The sequence below is a fragment of the Homo sapiens genome, chromosome 16 (assembly GCF_000001405.40).
Source record: "Homo sapiens chromosome 16, GRCh38.p14 Primary Assembly".
Classification (NCBI taxonomy): Eukaryota; Metazoa; Chordata; class Mammalia; order Primates; family Hominidae; genus Homo; species Homo sapiens.
This window is the reverse complement of record NC_000016.10, coordinates 73,767,005-73,784,763: the sequence shown is the minus strand read 5'-3', so window position 1 is coordinate 73,784,763 and position 17,759 is coordinate 73,767,005. Positions and strand designations below refer to the sequence as shown.

The 17,759-nt window shown below is 42.5% G+C and overlaps 1 protein-coding gene across 1 annotated transcript in view; it reads left to right on the top strand.

The window, feature by feature from the left end:
* Nucleotides 1-17,759, top strand: part of ZFHX3 (zinc finger homeobox 3) — a 1,109,046-nt gene that overhangs the window by 107,167 nt on the left and 984,120 nt on the right. The window lies entirely within an intron of this gene.

The following is a 17,759-nucleotide window of genomic DNA, read 5'->3' as shown; positions in this document are numbered from 1 at the left end:
AAAATTTTTTTAATTTTTGAGACATAGTCTTACTCTTTCACCAGGCTGGAGTGCAGTGGAGCAATCTTGGCTCACTGCAACCTCTGCCTCCTGGGTTCAAGCAATTTTCCTGCCTCAGCCTCCCGAGTAGCTGGGGCTACAGGCACGTGCCACCACCCCCAGCTAATTTTTGTATTTTTAGTAGAGATGGGGTTTCACCATGTTGGCCAGGATTGTCTCGATCTCTTGACCTCATGATCTGCCTGCTTTGGCCTCCCAAAGTGCTGGGATTACAGACGTGAGCCACTGCGCCCAGCCAAAAAATAAATTTTAAAACAATTTTGGAAGACAGCATCTGTCTTTCTTTTTTCTTTTTTGGTCATGGTTAAGGAAGAGACCCATGATCATCATGTATTGCTATTGCTTTCTAGGTGTCAGGCACTAGATATGTTAAGCATGTTAAGCACATCTAGTAGGTGAAGCACTTGATATGTATTTTATCGTTTAATCCTTTCTACCATCCTGAGATGTTATCTCTTTTATTCCCCTTTTATAGATGATGGAATTGAAGTTCAGAGAGGTTAAGTAATTTACTCAAGTCACATAGCTTTGTATGATTCCACAGCCCAAATGCTTACCTGTCTCCTTTTTTTTTCTTTTTTTTGCCTGCCATCTCTCCAAAACAGCCAGGCATCTTCCTGTGATTTGCTGCCCTCACCATTTTCTCAGTGAGGCTGTGCTCATGCAGGCATCCCATCTAGAGAACATCCTTTCTTGCTTTCCCTTCTGTCTCCTTTCCTTGTTTTCTAAAGACACCCAGGGTTTGACAGGTTCCTGTTCTTAGGAACAGCATCAACCTGGTATGGATGCTACCAGCTGAAACAGGTAGAGTCCAGGGTGAGGTGAAACTCAGTGCTGAGGACAACTCTATGTAATTTCCTACTTCTTACTAGCTGTATGACCTTGAGCAGGGCATCTGACTTTAGTTTTCTCATCTGGAAAATGGGATGATAGTAGTAACTATCTCATCAGATTGTTGCAAAGATTAAATGAGTTAATCCATATAAAGTCCTTACCACTGTGACTGGTACATAGTGTTAGCTGTGGTTATAATTTGCAATCAGTACTGATTTACAGTTGACTAACAATGGACAGAAAATATATGAATCTGAATGAATCAATCATCAATTTCCTAGAATAAAATGGGAAACTTTCCCACATGCTATAGGTCACAACTTTCCCTCTGGGGTTTTTCCAGGTTAAAAAAGCAACAACGAATTTTGACTGTTGTCCACCTTAAACTCCCATTCTTTCCTGGGTGTCATCCTTAGATGGGGTTCTCCAGAAAGAGAAAGAGCATGAGGTGGAGACTTGTGTAAAGGAGGTTTTGGGGACATACACTGGGGAACAACATGACTAAGGGAGGGAAGGAAATGGGATTGGACACAGGAAAGAGTTCAACAGTGGCGTAGTTGCAGCAGAGGCCTCAGCAGATCCCATACGGAGTTCTGAGGCTGGGTTGGCCATACAGATTTGTCTCTAACTGGGGAATGAGGGTTGGGCCTTTATAAGCACATTAACTAGTCATTGGTTGCAGGTTGTGCCTGGGGTGGCTCATCTTGGCCCGGTACTCAGCTCTGAGCCATCAAAGCCAACTCTCCGGGCAGCTGGAGAATAAGTGCCTTAGACATGAAGCTGGGAGTGGGCTGCTCACCATGGCCTCCATTTCAGTGCCCCCCTCTCTCTCTGGCAACTAGCACTTCCATATTGCCCCAGCATCTGAAGTTGGGGAAAATAGAGAATCCCATAGAATTATGTATCCTGAAGTTTTCACCTATTGAGTTAGTTGGAATAGATTAGGTTGTGCTGTGGTAACAAATTAACTCCCAATTTGCAGAAGCTTAACACAACAGTTTATTCCTAAGAAACAGTGCATATTTCACTCAGCTCAGTGTTGGATAAGGGTCTGCTCCATGTAGTGATTCAGGGACCCAGTCTTTCAGGTCTGTCATCTTGCAGCATACAACCTGGAACCCAGGATTTCCTTTATTGCAGACAAGGGCAGAACCAGAGGGTCATGCGCCAACTTTTAATGCTTCTACTCAGCAGTTAAGCTTGTCACTCCTGCTCAGAGCCCACTTTTCAGACCTATTCGTTTGGCCTCGTCTAACCACAAGGGGAGCCACAGATAATCAGTGGGCAGCCCATGCTTCTACTACACTTCACTCAAGGATATTCATGTTCTCTAAGGGGAAGGATGGCAGATGAATAACTGCCACCAGAAAAGAGCTAGGCTTGAAGCGTCCTTCAAGTCCTCCTCTAAATTAGGGACCTTAAATAGCTGCTCATGAGTAGGCTTCCAGGGATAATGGGCCCTTTAACATTGCATGTAAAATTTTGCATGTGTTATACATATTTCTGGGGTAGAAAGTCTGTAACTTTTGACAGATTCTCCAAAGCGTTCTGTGACCTAAAACAAGTTAGAGGTCTCTGCCTTGTAGGTCACTACCTAATGTATCAGCACTTGGATTCACCTACCCAACAAAACAGAGGCTCAAGCTTTATCTCTCCATAGGTCTCAAGATTTACATTTGTCATTTGGACACAGGAGCTCCGTGTACGGTTAACTTTGTACAGAGCCAGCTGAGCATCTAAAGCACCATTCCTGACCAAAGAGAGTCTTTCTGTAGAGATCAGAACTCTGCACTGGGCAATGGAGACCCTGCCTGGGCTTTAGTCTGAACTTTTCTCAACTTCCAGGGTAGCCTTCCTTGTTTATTTTATTTTATTTTATTTTTGAGATGGAGTCTCGCTCTTTCGCCCTGGCTGGAGTGCAGTGGCACGATCTCAGCTCACTGCAACCTCCACCTCCTGGGTTCAAGCGATTCTCCTGCCTCAACCTCCTGAGTAGCTGGGATTACAGATGCACACCACCACACTCAGCTAATTTTTGTATTTTTAGTAGAGACGGGGTTTCACTATGTTGGTCAGGCTGGTCTCAAACTCCTGACCTCGTGATTCGCCCACCTTGGCCTCCCAAAATGCTGGAATTACAGGCATGCGCCACCACGCCCGACCTCTTGTTTATTAAATAGAGGATCAAGTTAAAGATGGTTTCTTCCAGCTCTAAGTTCCTATGACTCTGGCTATAATCTATACTGAAAGTCAGCACAATTCTTCTGTAAAGGACCCAGTAGTAAATATTTTTAACTTTGGAGGCCACACAGTCTGTGTTGTAATGACTCAATTCTGCCACTGTAGTGTGAGACAGCCATAGATGTTATGCAAATGATGAGTGTGGCTGTGTTCTAACAAAACGTGACTTACAAATACAAGCAGTGGGCCATAGTTTGCCAAACCATGATCTACACCAGTGGTTCCCAAAGTGTGATGCAGGAGTAGCAGCAACGTGACCTGGGAACTTGTTAAAAACACAAATGATCAGGCTCTAGCCTTATAATCGAGCTGCTTAATCACAATCTTTGGGGGTAGAGCCTTACAAAGGCCTTCAGGTAAAATTCTGATGAATGTTGAAGTTTGAGAATCATGGATCTCACGGAAAAAAGCATCGTGATTCCAGATTTATACAGCTACGTTGCTTGCTCTCTTGCTCAGGTAATGAGGCAGGGAGTGTTAAACAAAGTAACTAGGTTTAACACTCCGACTTCCTTGAGAGCTCCCAAATTATATTAATTTCCTCATCTTCCCAAGCAAATGGTCCCTTTCTCTTTTGTTCATCATAATCACTGCTAAAGCTTTTAATATAGAAGAAGCAAAAGCTGTAGCTTTTACATGCAAGTCTTCTTCATTATTGTTATTGAGTAACTGATATTACCTTTCATGTGTACCCAGGGACTTCTCTGTAAATAGCAAATAGGTATCTAAAAAAGCAGCCTTTGAATAGTAATAGCACTTGGCAGTTATGTTGCACTTTCATGGCAGGCACTCTGCACATATATCCACTCTTAAAATATGAAGTTATTCACAAATGGAAAGAAATTAACAGAGAATGATGAGTCTGCATCAGAATTCAACTGCAATGAGGCCAGGCACAGTGGCTCGTGCCTGTAATCCCAGCTCTTTGGGAGGCCCAGGTGGGCAGGTCACTTAAGGCCAGGAGTTTGAGACCAGCCTGGCTAACATGGCGAAACCTCGTCTCTATTAAAAATACAAAAATTAGCTGGGCGTGGTGGCGCATGCCTGTAATCCAGCTCCTTGGGAGGCAGAGGCACAAGAAATGCTTGAACCCAGGCGTCAGAGGTTGCAGTGAGCCGTGATCATGCCACTGTACTCCAGCCTGGGTGGCAGAGTGAGACTCTGTCTTAAAAAAAAAAAAAGTTCAGGCACGGTGGCTCATGCCTATAAACTCAACACTTTGGGAGGCCGAGGTGGGTGGATTACCTGAGTTCAGGAGTTCGAGACCAGCCTGGCCAGCATGGCAAAACCCCATCTCTACTAAAAATACAAAAATTAGCCAGGCGTGGTGGCATATGCCTGTAGCCCCAGCTACTCAGGAGGCTGAGGCACAAGAATCACTTGAACCCAGGAGGCGGAGGTTGCAGTGAGCCAAGATCGCACCACTGCACCTGCACCCCAGCTTGGGGGATAGAGCAAGACTCTGCCTCAAAAAAAAAAAAAAAAAAAAAAAAAAAAAAAAAAAAAAAAAAAAAAAATTCAAATGCAGTGAGTTTTGCTGGTTTACAGGAAGGAGTCCCTGGTGGCAGAAGCTATCTCAGTCATGACTTCATAGTCTGCGCTAGGTGAAGAGAGAAAAAAAAGTCTTAGAAAGGCTTGGGATCCAGTGCTTTGGGAGGCCAAGGCGGGTGGGTCATGAGGTCAGGAGATCAAAACCATCCTGGCCAACATGGTGAAACCCCATCTGTACTAAAAAGACAAAAATTAGCTGGGTGTTGCTGGTGCATGACTGTAATCCCAGTTACTCGGGAGGCTGAGGCAGGAGAGTTGCTAAATCCTGGGAGTTGGAGGTTGCATTGAGCCGAGATTGCGCTATTGCCCTCCAACCTGACGACAGAACGAGACTCTTTCTCAAAAAAAGGAAAGGCTTGGGATTACTGTTTCATCAAAGGTATCTTTGTTGTTGTACAACGGGAGCATAACGCATTTCTGCTTTCACTGTTGACTGGTGCTTCTCTGCCTTGGAGTTTCATTTGTGGAATGATTCGTGGTCCTAGTAGATTAGGACCTTATCTATCTTTGTGGGTCTTAAATGTTTCACCTTGCCCATGGCAGACACGGCAGGGTAAATGAGAGAATGAATAAATGAGCAATGTGTGGGATTTTAGGACCCGGGAGAGGCAACCTCATTCTTTGGATTTTCTTCTCGATGATTCCATACTAGAATGAAACACCACCACCTCCTCCTCCTCTTTCTTCATCATTGTCATTGTTGTCTTTTTCTCAGATGAATTCTTTTCATCACTAACTTAAAAATTAATTTCTGGGCAATTACTATAACTGAATAGTGTTTCATTCCAACATAGCATTATTGTATTTACTGATTTTACTGTGGTGGTCTTTGAATGTATGAATTTGAGCTCAGTCGATAAAGAAAAAAAATCACCCCCAGAATTCCCAAGATATACTTTGGCACATGTTGGGAGGCTCGGGAATGCTATAGCCATATGCTGGTTTCTGTGTTCCAAATGCAAGACACGGGTTCTGTGTGCCACTCTGGAGCCATCTGGTGGGGCTTCCATCTGGACCACCCACCCCCACCCTAGGGCGGAGCTGGGGACACTCAGGCTTATTCTAGAGCAGATGAATCCTAGGTGTTCAGAGAAAACAGTTTTAGCTTTTCTCATTTTCTACTCACTTGTGCATTTTCCATTTAGAAACTTAACGATTAATATTCCACAGAAGAACAATTCCTACTTTCAACTTCCCAGATGCTCCCTAATATGAAGTGATCTTGACTTTTCTTCGGCTCAGGCACAGACTGTTAGTCATTGTTTTTGGATTGATATGATTTCTGGTGTTATTTGGAGCCAGCAATCCTGCATTGCCGTCTTACCATTGTATTTTCATCAGAAGAAACTGTAAGCTCTTGGAAGGCAACAGCAAGGCGCTTCAGACCTTTCTAAATCCTTTAGAATTTAGCGCTGTGCAGAGGCACATGCAGGGGAAATGACTGTCATTTTGAATAGATAATAAGCAAATGCACCAGTGGTAGGTCTCACCTATTAGGATTTTTCCTAAGTCTGACTTTGGAAAATAGTTAGAACCCAGCTTAAAACAGCAGCTTAATACATATTGCTGCTACCACTGAGGGAATTATTGTGATTTTAAACTTGTATTTGAAGAACATGTTATTTTGCAAAATATTTTCACCATCCATTCAATACAACTTTTGTAGACAAGGTAAGGTAATTAACAGAGAAATTGAAATCTCACAGAGCAATTTTCTAACTTGTCACTTGGTGATCAAATGAATAAATGCCCAAATGGTAAGTGACATCAAAATAGATTTAGGACTAGATTTCATTTTGAGTTGAAGTCCAATGCTTTTTTTTTTTTTTTTTTTTTTTTTTAACACTCCTTCAACAGTAAAGGTAGTGGTTTATGTGGTGTCTCTTAGATGAGAGTTGTTGCATAAGAATTATTGGTATAGCCATTTCTCTTCCTCAGCATGGGTCATTTTCAACATCTGCTCTATTTCATGGGAGTGAGCTTTTAAAAAATATTTATTTTGTTTGATATTATTTTTTTCATTTTCATTTTTTACATTTTTATTTCTGGAGACAGGGTCTCACTCTGTCATCCAGGCTGGAATGCAAGGGCATGAACATGGCTCAGTGTAGCCAGAGTGAGTTTCTGGGAAGTCAGCTTAACATCCAGGAATTGACTTTGCTATTTTGTGACATTCCATCTTTCTCAATCCCTTCCAGATACTCCCTTTAGCTACAGAGAAAAAAAAAGTCCCAGTTCTGATTCTTGCAGTTGTTGGCAACCTGAGGCAGTAACCTGCCTGAGCCTCACTTTCCTTACATGCAAAATGGAGATAACATGTCACCCAGACATAGCAAGTGTGAGGATTAGATGAGGTACTGGATGTTAAGTGCTTAGCACCATAACTGGCACAGAGTAAGTACTCATTGGGTATCAGCCATTGTTATCATTGATACAGTTGGAAAGATGCACGGAGAAAAAAAGATTTGGGGACAGTGTCATGTATGTAGTAGAAATGAAATAAATAAATGTTTTCTTAATTCTGTTAAATTAGATTTAACTAAGCTTTTTTTTTTTTTTTTTTTTTTTTGAGACAGAGTCTCACTCTGTCGCCCAGGCTGGAGCGCAGTGGCGTGATTTTGATCTTGGCTCACTGCAACCTCTGCCTCCCAAGTTCAAGTGCTTCTCCTGCCTCAGCCTCCTGAGTAGCTGAGACTACAGGCACGCGCCACCACACCTGGCTAATTTTTTATATTTTTAGTAGAGACGGGGTTTCACCATATTAGCTGGGCTGGTCTTGAACTCCTGACCTCATGATCCTCCTGCCTTGGCCTCCTAAAGTGCTGGGATTACAGGCATGAGCCACCGTGCCCAGCCTTTAACTCACCTTTCTAAAGGAGGCTCATTGATCCAGGGAGTGGCGGAGGACAGGGATCCTTGCCCTGCACATATGAGAAAGGGAAATTGTGGCAGGACCACAGCAATTAGGATCGATGTGTTAGATGGTGTGTGTTCCTTCTTACAAAGCGTGGTGATGCTAGCTTGTGAAATAGGGGAATGCAATACCTCCTCTACGTTCATGGGAGAAGATGAAGAGTAATCCTAGCTCCGGATGTTGCCTTCCTTCCAGGAGGAGGAGATTGGCCCAATTCAGGTACACAATGTGCATGGATGTAAATCTGATAATATTGTTCCTTAAAAAAAATAAAGCAAGCAGGCCGTACTGATTGCTTATATGGACAGCTGGCACACCTTAAGAAGTGCGAACGGTTCAGGCGGGAATGTAATAAGGCCTAGGAAAGTGGCAGCATGAAAGGGATGACCTTTATTTGCAATCATGGCTGAGATTTACAGTTTATTACTGATAGCTTTTATAAAGAGCCATTCAGTTCAGAGGTGAGAGGTTTGTCATCTGGAAACGCAATTAACTTTACCTTATCCCAATCCCCCTGGTCTTAGTGTGAGAGCCGCATTCGAGCACTTCAGCAATATTATGATTTCCCCTCTAATTTCATTTCTGTCTATTGCATCCCCAGGTCCCTGGCATTAACGCGGTTGCATATTTTTACTATTATTATTTTCTATTATTGCTACTCCCTGTCGTCGATAGCCAGAAGGCACTTGTGTATGTTTTTTTAAAGATCTAAATTATTTGATTTCTGAAAGAGGAAACCTTAAAGCATAAAGCCTTTTTTAAACCACAGCAGTTAGAGTAGCGCATAGAACTGGGGCATGTCGTCTTAGCTGTCTGAAATTAATTACGGAAATGGAGAGGTTGTGGGAAGGTGGAGTTGTTGTTTTACATAAAGACGGGACCCTAACAATTTAAGCTCTCCTAGCCCTGCACACTTCAGTCATAGACATGCTGTGCAAAGAAAGTCGCCTTCTCCCCATGCCTGCTCAGACCCAGGAGGACGTGGAGGAAGCACAACGCGATTTGCAACATGAAAAAATGAAAGCGATTTTGGCATCCCTGCTGTGTGTGTATGAGAAGTCCCGAAAGGTCTATTTTTGTTTCACAGGTTCAGTTTTATGACCCTCTCTTGTCTGTTAAGTCAGGTCTGCAGGAGTTTAAGAGCCAGACACAAAAGCAAGAATTTAGTACCTTTTGCCAGTTGGTTTAGGTTATTTGAAATATAGCCTAGTATATTTTCCACACTAGGCTGCTGCCAGATAGATCAGAAAAAGGAAGTGGCTCCAAGAGTCTACATCCTCAGATTTTTCAACCTCTCCAGAATTGAGGGAGAGGAGCAGGGTTCTACTGGGGGCCCCATCACTTAATGGCACATTGTCTGAGACTCTGGCAAACCCTCCTCTGCCTCCAGAAAGCCCCTACACCTGCCTTATTAAAAAATGGAGCAGCCTTTTACAAATTTCTAAGGCTCTATCTGAAAACTATTTCCTCTGGGGTAAGGTAGAGCCGAATAATTACTACCCCTGCGTTTTTCATCTGGATTTTATTGTGGCTATTATTTTCATCAGTGTTAGAGGTTAATATCCCTATTTTTCCCCTCCACTGCCTAAATATAACTGGGGCTCAGCACACGGCCAAACCAGGTAGTGAAGGAAATAGCATTGCCTCCAAAAGAGGTTTGGATTAGTCCGTCTGAAATGAGGGTTTGGGGCCCTAGGGTAAGAATTATCGTGCTGCAGCTGATAGAGGATAGATTTAAACCCATAGTATTTCTTTTCTCAGCTGAGGGAGGTGGGGTTAAAAGATTCAGAAGGTGAATAGAGCATGAAACGATGCGCTTATATAACTATATTGGTGCTACAATAGGATGGCCTCACTAAGAATAAAAGCATCTAAGAGCCATTTTTAATAGGAAGAAGGAAAAGCGGAGACCTCTCAGTCATACCTTCTTAAAGAACTCTTTGCAGTCGAAGCAGGGTTGAAGGTGCTTACCTTGAGGGACTGTGCTAAACCTGAGAAGGATATTCTCAACGGCGCTTTCCCATAGGAGTACCTTGAAAATTTACTTTTGGAAATCTCATGTTTTGAATCTTGTTTGTCCCTTAAGCTGTGTCTATACTTGAAAAATGGAATGAGAAGAGGCGGGGATGGAAGCAGGGTACTATTTCCATGGCTGCTAGCAGAGTCCAAGAGATGATATCTGGGGTTAGACCAGGGTCCTGGATTGGAGATAGGGAGACGTAAAAGGATGTAAGATGAATTTTGAAGGTAGAGTGTTCAGGACATACTTCCAGATTAAATGTGATTAGGAGCAATTCATGCAAGGTTCAGGTCTCGAAATAAGTCCTGTGAACAACTTCCTGGAGCAAATGCATTCATTTACATGCTCACTCACAGTTCCAAATACTAGAGTTGAAAAACCACTCCCATTAAGAAAACCACCGTTGTCTGACTGATAAACCGAGGTTGTACTCAGTTACCATCGGTGGCTTAGTGATGTTGCCCAGCTGTTCCTTGTGCAATGGATGCCTCAAGCTGTAGAAGGTAATGGTGCATAACTATTTGCCTTACAAATGGCACCATCTTTGGGGGGTGCATAGACAAGCATATTTGTTACTTAGGATTAGCATCATCAGTGGATACAGTGGTATAAAGATTGAGTCTGGAGGTAAGTCAGGTGCTTACAAGTAGGAAGAACAGAGCATATGGGTATTTGTTTGGATACCTCTGGGACACCCAACTCTGGGGTCCTGGTGTGTCATGGGTATGGTTGTTCTAAAGCCAGCATGGACTGTGAAGGCAGCAATGGTGGTCATGAAAGGGATGAGCTCAAATCCCCTTTCTCTCAGCCTTCATTCATTCACCAACTACCTAATGAGCTTATACAAGCACCATGCTAGGCCATGGGGATTCTACAGTGAATAGTAAAATAGACAATGTCCACCCTTACCCATTACAAAAATGAATTTGGAGAGTTTTTGGACCAAGGAGTCATGAGTAAATAATTAAAGTGAGATTAATAAAAGCTTAGTATCTTTTTAACTTTTTTTTTTTAGAGACAGTATATTGCTCTGTCAGCTAGGCTAGAGTGCAGTGGCACAATCATAGTTTACTGCAAACCCTGGGCTCAAACAGTCCTCCTGCCTAAGCTCCCGAGTAGCTGGGACTACAAGCACATGTCACCGTGCCTGGCTAATTTTTTATGTTTTTGTAGAAAGAGGGTCTCATTATGTTGCCCAGGTTAGTCTGGAGCTCCTGGCCTCAAGAGATCCTCTTAATTTAGCCTCCCAAATTGCTGGGTTTACAGGCATGAGCCACTGCATCTGGCCTCTTTTCAACTTTTTAGAAGTGTTGTACCAGGGAATGTTGGAGTCCCCTGGTACTGAGCTCTAAACCTTCTCTCCTTTCTTTACATTTGCCCCCTAGGTGTTTTCATCAACACCCATGGCTTTATTTACAACTTCACATAACTAACACTGAAATTATGTGAAATGTCACGTGGTTCACTTCTGCACTGTGCCCAAATGCTTGCTCACATATCTCTACCTGAGACAGGCCTTCCCGGATGGCCCTCTCTCTGTCCCTTTCCTTGCATTCGGGCTTTCCACGGACACATTATTATGTAGATACTTGTTAATTGTTTCTCTCATCCACTGGAATGGAAGCCTCAGGTGGACAGATCCTTATTCACTGCTTATCCCCAGAGACAGGACCAGGGCCTGGCTCATACTGGGAGCTCAGTAAGTGTGTGTTGGATGCATAAAGGTGAGGACCATCTGTTCTCCATCTCCACTGATACAAACAGTTTGATGATAATGGAAAATGTAGCACAAGGGATGGGGAGAACTACTGCCTGGTGGTGAGGTCTGAGGACCATAAAGAAAGGGAGACTGTGGGACACAGCTGCCTGGGGTGGCACCCTCCTCTAGAACTTTCTGTGATGGTGGAAATGTGCCATATCTGTGCCGTGCAACACGGTAGCCACTAGCCACTGTGGCCATTGAGCATTTGAGATGTAGCTAGTGAAACCCAGGAACCAAATTTTAAACTTGATTTGATTTTTGTTTGTCTTATTTCCATTTATTTACTGATTAATTTCATTAACTTTGAGTAGCCCCATGTGGCTAACAGCCCCTGCACTGATCAGCCTGGGTCTAAGGACCCAAAATCCTCTACCTAGGATAGCATGACACAGCCAAGTCCTGGAGCTGAGACCAAAAACAAATGCTTCTGAGTTTAGAAATAAATGCTCTGAGATCTCTGCAGGTAGTGGCAGTGTGGGAAATGAGTCATGTCTTTCAAGATGCCTGGAGATTCTCCCAAAGCAAGAATTTTCTAAGAACAGTGTCTGATATGCGGTAGTAATTATGCATATGTATTTAGTGACAGCCAGATTAGATAGCTCAGAAACACACACCCCCCATATGAAGTTATTATAGAATCAAATGGCCAGGTGAAGAATACCATTGAGAGACAGGAGCTGCAGGCCGAGGATGAGATGCAGTTGTGCTAAATACACAGTTCCTTACTCAGGCAGGGATTCAAACAGCCAAGATCCAAGTGAGAAGGAGACTAGCTAACTGCAGAACGGACATATCTGAAAGACACCTACGGCAGAAAGTAGATGACCACCCAAACGAGGTATGCACAGTGATATGGTTTGGCTGTGTCCCCACCTAAATCTCATCTTGAATTCTCACATGTTGTGGGAGCTACCTGGTGGGAGGTAACTGAATCATGGGGGCAGGCCTTTCCCATGCTGTTCGCGTGATGGCAAGTAAGTCTTACAAGATCTGATGGTTTTATGAGGGGGAGTTTATCTGCACAAGCTCTCTCTTTGCCTGCTGCCATCCACGTAAGATGTGACTTGCTCCGCCTTGCCTTCCACCATGATGTGAGGTCTCCCCGGCCATGTGGAACTGTGAGTCCAATAAACCTCTTCCTTTTGTAAATTGCCCAGTCTCAGGTATGTCTGTATCAGCAGTGTGAAAACAGACTAGTACACACAGCAATTCCAATTCCATTTTCAAAGGAAAGGTCTGTGGCGAGGGGGTGGAGGTGGAGAACTGGATGGTTCTGCCTCACCCAAGAAGATTCTAACCACATCTGGAAAGTTAGCTGTGGCTCACATCCCCACAGTTTAAGAGGGAAATAAAATGTAGAAGAAAGAAAAGAAAGGCCACAAAAATGATATGAAGGTTGGGAGAACAAACTTGAGTGGACTGACTGAAGAAGTAATTTATATCCTCCCAGAAGAAAGGCCTCTGTGGGGGAGGTGACCACAGTCTATAAATACTTTCAGGGTAACCATATCAATGAGAGAAAAGGATTAGTCACCATCTTCCGGGATGGCAGGGACCAGGAGCCATGGCCTAAAGTGAAGCGAGAAAAAATATTGTAGCCATTAGTAAAAAAAAAAAAAAAAATTCTTTAAGGCAATAAGGACTGGACAGTGAGCAGAGTTCTCTAGGGAAGGAAGCCAAGTCCTGTCACTACATTCAGAAGTGATTGAGTGAGATAGTAATGGAAATGAAAGGAACATCAGACTAGGTACTCTTATGTCCTGTGAAATAATTGGTCTGATAGAGCCAGAATCTGCCTTTGGCTGTGGCGCATGTGTGCAGCAGCCTCAGAGGAAGGTAAGACCTCAGCATGGTATTTCTCCAGACCTGTCAAAGCAGGCCAATGAGGAAAATTCCTTACTGACCATTGCTTTACATAGGCACTGAGTTTAGAAGTTTCATGTGGTATGACCTCATTTGTCCATGCCCTCCTCATCTGCATGCTTGTTTTTTCTGACCAGCTCTGCTGTGGGAGTTAGGCTGAGTCAGGGACCAGGGTGCCAGCTGTTGGGGCGCCATCACCAGGATCTCCTGCTTAAGGGGAAGATGATCCTGTAGTACCACTTGGAAACTTCCAGGATTCATCCTGGCCCTACTGAATCCACATAGACAAAGCAGGGCTGTGGTAACATTGGTAGGGATCATCAAAATGCTTGAATTCACCCCTTGCCTGTTTTCTAAGGACTTTCTGAATTGATCATCTCCTGCATTTTCCCGTCATCACCCCAGTCTCTAGCATCCTTGACCTTTGTGTTCCAAGGAGCTTTAGAGCTCATCTTGTATTTTTCACAGTGAGAAAACCAAAGCCCAGAGATGTGAAGTGACTTGCTCAAGATCTCACAGCTAGTTAGGAGCTAGACCAGACTCCTGAATCCCAGTCCTTTACCTTCTTCATGACAATGTCTTACCTTGCAAGGGGAGAAAAGTGATCCATCCATCCGTCTAACACATAATGGTATTTATTGTGCTCTATAGAAATGACCTCTATATGGCTTTGTGTTAAACTCAGCAGCTATGTTGGAGAACAAGTTGAAATATGCGTCAGATACAGATTGTAGCTTCAAGCATGATCATCTTCAAAGCAGAATGTTCCTACTTTGAGGGGTGCAGAAGACAATTCATTGGAGATGTCGTAAGAAAATGTTAGGGCTTCTATTTACACTTATTTGGCCTCATCCTTGGAAAATGTCTACTATCTTGTTCCAGATAGCAATGCTATTTTCTTGTTTATTTTGGTTGATCATCTCAATATCTTACTTTTTATGACTCTTATGCTTGAGAGTGATATTATTATCTAAATGTTTTGTTTGACATTGATATTAACACATAACTGACCATCCTAGAAATGTGGTGTTTTCATTTCTGTGGTGGTTGTAACAAATTACCATAAGCATAGTGGTTTAAGGCAATACAAGTTTATGATTTTATATAGTTCTGGACTTTAGAAGTTCAAAATGGGTCTTCGTGGGTGAAAATTGTTTCTTTCTGGAGGCTCTGTGGGAGAATCTGTGTCTTCTCTTTTTCCACCTTCTGTGACTGTCCCCATTCTTTGGCTCATGGTTCCCTTCAACTTTCAAAGCCAGCAATGGCTGGCAGAGTATTTCTAACATTACATCACTCTGACTCTGATTCTTAAGTCACCCTACTCCACTTTATGGGCCTTTGTGATTACACTGGACCAATTGCAATCATCCAGAATAATCTCGCTATCATCAGGTCATCTGATTAGCAAGCTCAATTCCTTCTGCCACCTTAATTCTCCTTTGCCATGTAACGTAACACATTCATAGATTTCAGGGATTAGGGTGTGGATACCTTTAGGGGACCATTATTCTGCCGACCATGGATGGTAGTCAGTCATCACATCTGAGTGCACTATGATAATAAACAATGTAATATCACTACTTTCTTTATTCACACACCTAAGCCATCTTTTCCTTTGGAGCTGTAGCTGTGCAGTGGGGAGAGAGTTCTGTTTATCACTGGAGCCAAATAAATGGTTCAATAATGGGCAATTCAAAGGGATAGGGATTATGGGTAATAACCCTAGGATTCTTCCATGTCCTGAACCCTGGGTACATTTGTAGGATAACTGGGTTGTTGATATGTCAACAAATCTCCGGCAAAAAATGTGTTTCCTTTTAAATATCTTTCAGCTTCAATAAAGAAGTAGTTTCAGTGGTTAAAAAGGTAGAAATTCCCATTTTACATTTTAAGTCACTTTTTAGCTGTAATAGGTTTTTGGATTGTCATTGATTTTCTGTATTTGTAGAAAACCAAATAACTGCCTAATCTGGAATTCCTGCATATAAATATAGATGCTCATTCCTATTAAAATTTGTATAAGAATGGTAGCATGGTACTATTAATTCTGCAAGCATTTGATGAATTTGTGTAATATACTGTACATTACAAACTAACACAACACTATTATGAAATGTCATTATGACATTTTCCAGGTCATATTTTCAATCAATCTGAAAGAGCTCGTTAGGGGCCTAGCAGCTTGCAAGGGTTTGCTAGGTGGCTTACAGATTTACTTAAATCCTCATGAAGTTTATGATCTAAGTCAGAGGGGGCACCATATGTGACAGTAGAAAGTACTTCTAGTTCTGATTCTGTTTTAACTAGCTGTGTAAAGTTGGGAAAGTTTCTTGCTGTCTATGGGTCTTAGATTCCCAGTCTACCAAGTGGAAATGTTAGCCAAGAACCTTGTCCAAGGTCAGGGTCAGGCTTGCCAGATTCAGCAAGTAAAAATACAGGATGCCCAGTTTAGTTCGAATTTCAGATAAACAATGAATCATTTTTTAAGTACATGCCCCAAATATGGCATGGGGCATATTTGTACCAAAAATGATTCATTGTTTATCTGAACTTCAAACTTAACTAGGCATCCCATATTTGTGTTTGGCGAGATAAAGTAGGTTTCTGGTATGTGGGTTCACTCTTCCTTTCCCTCAGCTGGAATAGTCAGTTTCCTAGCTTGTATGAGTACAGCTTTCAGTTTCTCTCAGTGCAATGCTGTAGGTCGCCACTACTCATCACTTATAGTTGGCATGGATGATAAAATCCAGGCTCAGTAAATATCTGTGGAATGAAAGAGTAGTTGGTATCCCTAATTTAATCTGTTATCTCAAATCTATTTCTAAAGTTTGATGATTCTATAACATTTACATAGTGTAAACAGAAATAAAGACAGACAACAGGAATGTATTAATACAGACAAGAACAAGGTTATGGGCAATCTGTAGAGAGATTGATTTGAATGTTTATCTCAGGAAGGATTAAGGTGACACTCAACACCTCTCTTTTCCTATTGAGAGGTAATAGCTTAAAACAGAATATAGGATTTCAGGTCTAGCTTAGATTTTAAGAGTAATACATTGTAGAACTATCATAGGGGTTGGGCTCAGTAAATACTGATTAATAATATAAAAGTAACATTGAGTAATAACATAAAAGTTCAATTTTTTAAGTGTTCTGGTACTTTCCATTGGTGCCTCCATGTCTGCTCCCATCCTTTCTTCACCCTCCTTTGTGCCCAGAGGCCGACCAGAGTAGGCCATGTTAGTGGGTCTCCTTGCTTTCTGGTTTCCAGCTGGATTTGACAAATGGGAGAAAAGTCCCATCAAGGGATTGAACTTTATAATCTAAGACAGAGGGAACACAGTCTTTGGATCAAGACTGGATTAGAGAGTGATAGGAGGGAAAGGTTGGGGTGTTTATTCCACAGTAAGTGGCCAAGGGTTGGTAGCATCACTTTGACCGAAGGCCCTGAATCCTTTCTGGTACCCTTCTCATGTGGCTACTCTTCTAAGGTTGTAGGAATTACCCGTGTGCCATGCCTCTTCAGATCTAGGGATGTAAAAGCTCCCTACGTTTGCTAGCATTAAGGTGCTTCACCCTGTCTTGTTTCCTTAAACTCTGCCTCACCTTTGCAATTAGTCCCTTTGTTGCAATCTCAAATCATTTTGAGAGTGCCATCTGCTTCCTGCTGGGGCTCTGACTGGTACAAATGGGTACTACTATCAGCTGATTACGTAAGACTACAGGTCTCACAGAGGTTAAGTCTCCCATCGCAGATCACATAGCTCATAAATGGCAGAACTGAGACCCAGTACCTCTAGGTGAATTTGAAAGAAACAAGAGAGAAAAGAATGGACACAGGAAGATCCACAAGAATCTGGTCGTGGTCTTGGAACTATGTAATATATTTCTCTTAATTGCCCTGGAAAATATTACAAGAAAACAAACCTACATCACCATCTATTATATATCTTGTTTTCTATTTTGGGAAGGTCAGAAAAAGAATTCTTCTTTTGTGTTTATTCTTTCTTAGCTCAAGAAAACTGAGAAATAAACAGTAAGGATAATCTCCAAATCTTATAATTCTCATGTAGTACTCTCTACTTTACAACATGATGCTTCTGGTACCTGCGGTCCTCATCACTTTTCCTCAAATCCAAATAATTTTACCTTATAAAGAGAAGATTCTTCTGCTGAGCATGAATGTATTCTTGATAAAGCATTATTATGGACAAGGAGAGTGATATATTAGGTTGGTGCAAAGGTAATTGCAGTTTCTGCCATTAAAAGTAGTGGCAAAGGCTGGGCGCAGTGGCTCACACCTGCGATCCCAGCACTTTGGGAGGTGGAAGTGGGCAGATCACTTGAGGTCAGGAGTTCGAAACCATCCTGGCCAACATGGTGAAACCCCATCTCTACTAAAAATACAAAAAATGAGCCAGGCGTGGTGATGGGCACCTGTAATCCCAGCTACTCAGGAGGCTGAGGCAGGAGAATTGCTTGCATCCGGGAGGTGGAGGTTGCACTGAGCT